Raw genomic sequence first — 3,407 nt, 5'->3', positions numbered from 1 at the left:
GCTTTTCTATATATCTTCCAACTATTTCAAAGGAAAATACAATTCTCTGATTTCTTCCTGTGATATTTATCAGAGAGAATGGTGCCTGCCAGTTCTAGGGTGGGGGAACTCAATACAAATCACCAACCTTTAGATGACACCCTGTCTTCAAAGTGCTTTCAAAGTCTGGCAGAGGAAAAGTACGCAGTGGCTATAAGACCACCCAGGAGTTCAGTCATGCATTCTAAGTAGCAGATCACTCGAATGTAATTGGCTAGTGAGTTCATTTTACTCTTCTCTTCTTGGTCACATGTTACCGCCCTTGTACCGTGCACGTTCTCTTTCCCAGACTTACAAAGCATGTTCTCTTGAATTCGTTCTCTTTTTAAATTCACACAGTCTTAATGATTCTTCTTTCACAAGAGTCTTTCACTCTTACAATTCAATTCGAGTCATCCACATGCTTATTATGAGCAAGGGTCTGGGACCTAGGGGAAAAGGGAATAAAAAGATGAATGAAATTTGATCCCTGCAGTCCAAGAGCTTGCTGTGAAAAAGGAAGTTTGGCTTACATTGCCTCCCTAATCCCTTGGCTAGGCCAGAACAGAATATTGTCTAAAACCTCCTCACGTCAGCAGTCCTCTGGAGTGGTGACTGGAAGTAGAATTTAAACAAAAATATAATTGACACATAATAATTGTGCATACTTATAGGGTACAACCTGATGTTTCGATGTGTGTTTAAATGGGTGCATTGTGTAATGACCAAATTGAGGTAATTTATCCACCACCTTGAAGCGAGATTTTTGAATATTCTCATTGCGAAGAAGCAGGAATTTTTAGCAGACAACTCAGATGCTTCTTGTTCACACTAAGTCATTCTGATGATGGATTTACATAACTTGTTTTGCTTTTTGTGTGTGTGTGTTTTTGAGACAGAGTCTTACTTTGTCGACCAGGCTGAAGTGCAGTGGCACAATCTCGGCTCACTGCAACCTCCACCTCCCGGGTTCAAACGATTCTCCTGCCTCAGCCTCCTGAGTAGCTGGGATTACAGGTGCATGTAACTAGGCCTGGCTAATTTTTATATTTTTAATACAGATGGGATTTCACCATGTTGGCCCTGCTGGTGTCAAATTCCTGGCCTCAAGTGATCTACCAGCTGCGGCCTCCCAAAGTGCAGGGATTACAGGTGTGAGCCACCAAGCCTAGTACATTTACATTTCTTATCTGGATCTTTCCTTCAGTAAGTGCTAAGGAATCCTACTTCCCCCAATATTTTTTCCTATTTCAATGTTTTAGCATGTATATCATGTTACTACTTTGCAGACATTTGATTTTCCCCTTTGTTTACTGTAAAGTATATTTTTATAGTCTTTGATTAGTAATAGAAGTATTCTAAAATCTGCCTGCAACCTATCTTTCTGACTCTGCATTTTAGGGAATAATTCTCTGTTGTGGAATGAAAAAAAAACAGAGCCTGTGGAGTCAGAGATCTCATTTCAAATTATAGTTATCCCTAGGAATAAATCTGAGTGACAGGTGGTATGGTATAATAATAAGTATAAAGCTACGATTAAGGAAAACTCAACAACCTTATCTGTAAATTGGGATGACAACAGCCTACGTCAAAAAAATGTGAAGGTAAATGAGATAATGTAAGGCTGATACTTAGTAAGCATTTTAAAAACACCCAAAAAACTATTGCCATGATTACTCTACTTACTCTATTTCTCTATGCTCCAGGCAAATGAACTACTAATGACCCAGGGGTCCTTCCCCATTCTCTTCTTCACAAGGAAATAGTCTCTCTGTGTGTGCTGTTTATTAAAATCTACTGCCCCTTTTAGAAGCCTTTCCAGATCATCCCATGGCCAAGAATGATCGCTGCTTCCTCTTCTTTACATACAGATGTTTTTCTCCTGCTTGACAATTATTTTTGTGCAATTATTTTCTTTTTGTTTGTGTTTTTAATGTCCCCCCACCCCACCATTTTCCAGACTGTTTGCTCCACGAGAGAGGAAACCATCATCTCTGGGCTCACCGTTGTATGACCAGTATCCTGAGGAGTGGCTGTTACATAATTACATCAGGCACTCAGTAACAATTTGATGAATAAACACTGGATTTTAAGGCAGGTATCATATCTTACATAGCATATCATGTCTTACATTTTATATCCCTTACATAAATACCACAGAGTGAAGTATATGACAGATAAGGTCATTTCTCTTGATGAGTACATAGTCCAGTCTGAAACAGATATGCCAAAAAAAAAAACACTGGAGTAAACAAGATGAATTGTTTTAATAGAGGCATTGTATTAGTTTCCTAGGACTGCCAGAACAAATCACCTCAAACTTAGTGGCTGAAAACAACAAAAATTTGTTGTCTCACAGTTATAGATGCTAGAAGTATAAAATTAAGGTGTCAGTGGGATAGGTTCCCTCTGGGGGCTGTGGAGGAGAATCTGTCCCAAGCCTTCACATTGTAAAGTACAGTACTGGAGGGATAGGACTTCAACTTGCTCTATCTCAGATAGAGAGGAGCCATTTGTTGTGAATTGAGAAGAGGGGTATGTTGAATCCATAATAAGCACATAAAAACTTGGCTGGTTCATAGGAGAAGTAACATGTTTCCAGCTCTAGTAAAAAACAAATTGAAGTGGCCTATAAAAAGGTACAGAGTACGACAGAATGAAAAATAAATGAACAAGAATACAGAGAGGATGTGGTAAATTATCATGTTTCCCTAATATGGTTGCCAGGGCATTCTCATTTCTGTCCAATGGGAGAAACATTTTCGTTTGAGACCTCCGTGAATAATACAATCTTTTAGTTAGGAGAGCTGCATTTTGAGTGGTGCAGGCAGAATGGTGATCTCTCACCCACACAAACACTAAGATAGAGACAGAGACAGCAGAGAGAGACAGAGAAAGGAAGTACAGGTACTCAGATAGAGATAAGCCATTTCTTGACATTAAGAAATAAAGTAGAATCCATTGGAGGGAAATAAAACCGCCTCAGGAACAGAGTTAATTCACCTACACATGCAGGTAAACACACACTGCTTGATACTTACTGTGGACTTTGAAAATTATGAATGTGTGTGTGTGTGTGTGTGTGTGTGTGTACATTCGACCCTCCATATCCGTGGATTTTGCATTCACAGATTCAACCAACCATGAATTAAAAACGTTTGGAAATAACAAACATTAAAATATAACAATACAATAATAAAAAATAATACAAATAAAAAATATAGTATAACAACTATTTACATAGCATGTGTGTTGTATTAAGTAGTATAAGTAATCTAGAGATTACTTAATGTATAGAGGATGCATAGGCTATATGCAAATACTATGCCACTTTAAACTGATAAGAACAGATACTAAACTTCATCTTAGCCAAAAGTCAGAGAAACAAT

General features: G+C 38.2%; 1 pseudogene; it reads right to left on the bottom strand.

Annotated features, from left to right (window-relative positions):
* Window positions 1-3,295: 3,295 nt before the first annotated feature.
* LOC124902845 (uncharacterized) lies at window positions 3,296-3,407 on the bottom strand (annotated as a pseudogene).

This window comes from Homo sapiens, chromosome 11 (genome assembly GCF_000001405.40).
Source record: "Homo sapiens chromosome 11, GRCh38.p14 Primary Assembly".
NCBI classification, from domain to species: domain Eukaryota; kingdom Metazoa; phylum Chordata; class Mammalia; order Primates; family Hominidae; genus Homo; species Homo sapiens.
Note: the sequence above shows the minus strand (reverse complement) of the source record. Positions and strands in the feature narration are given on the sequence as shown.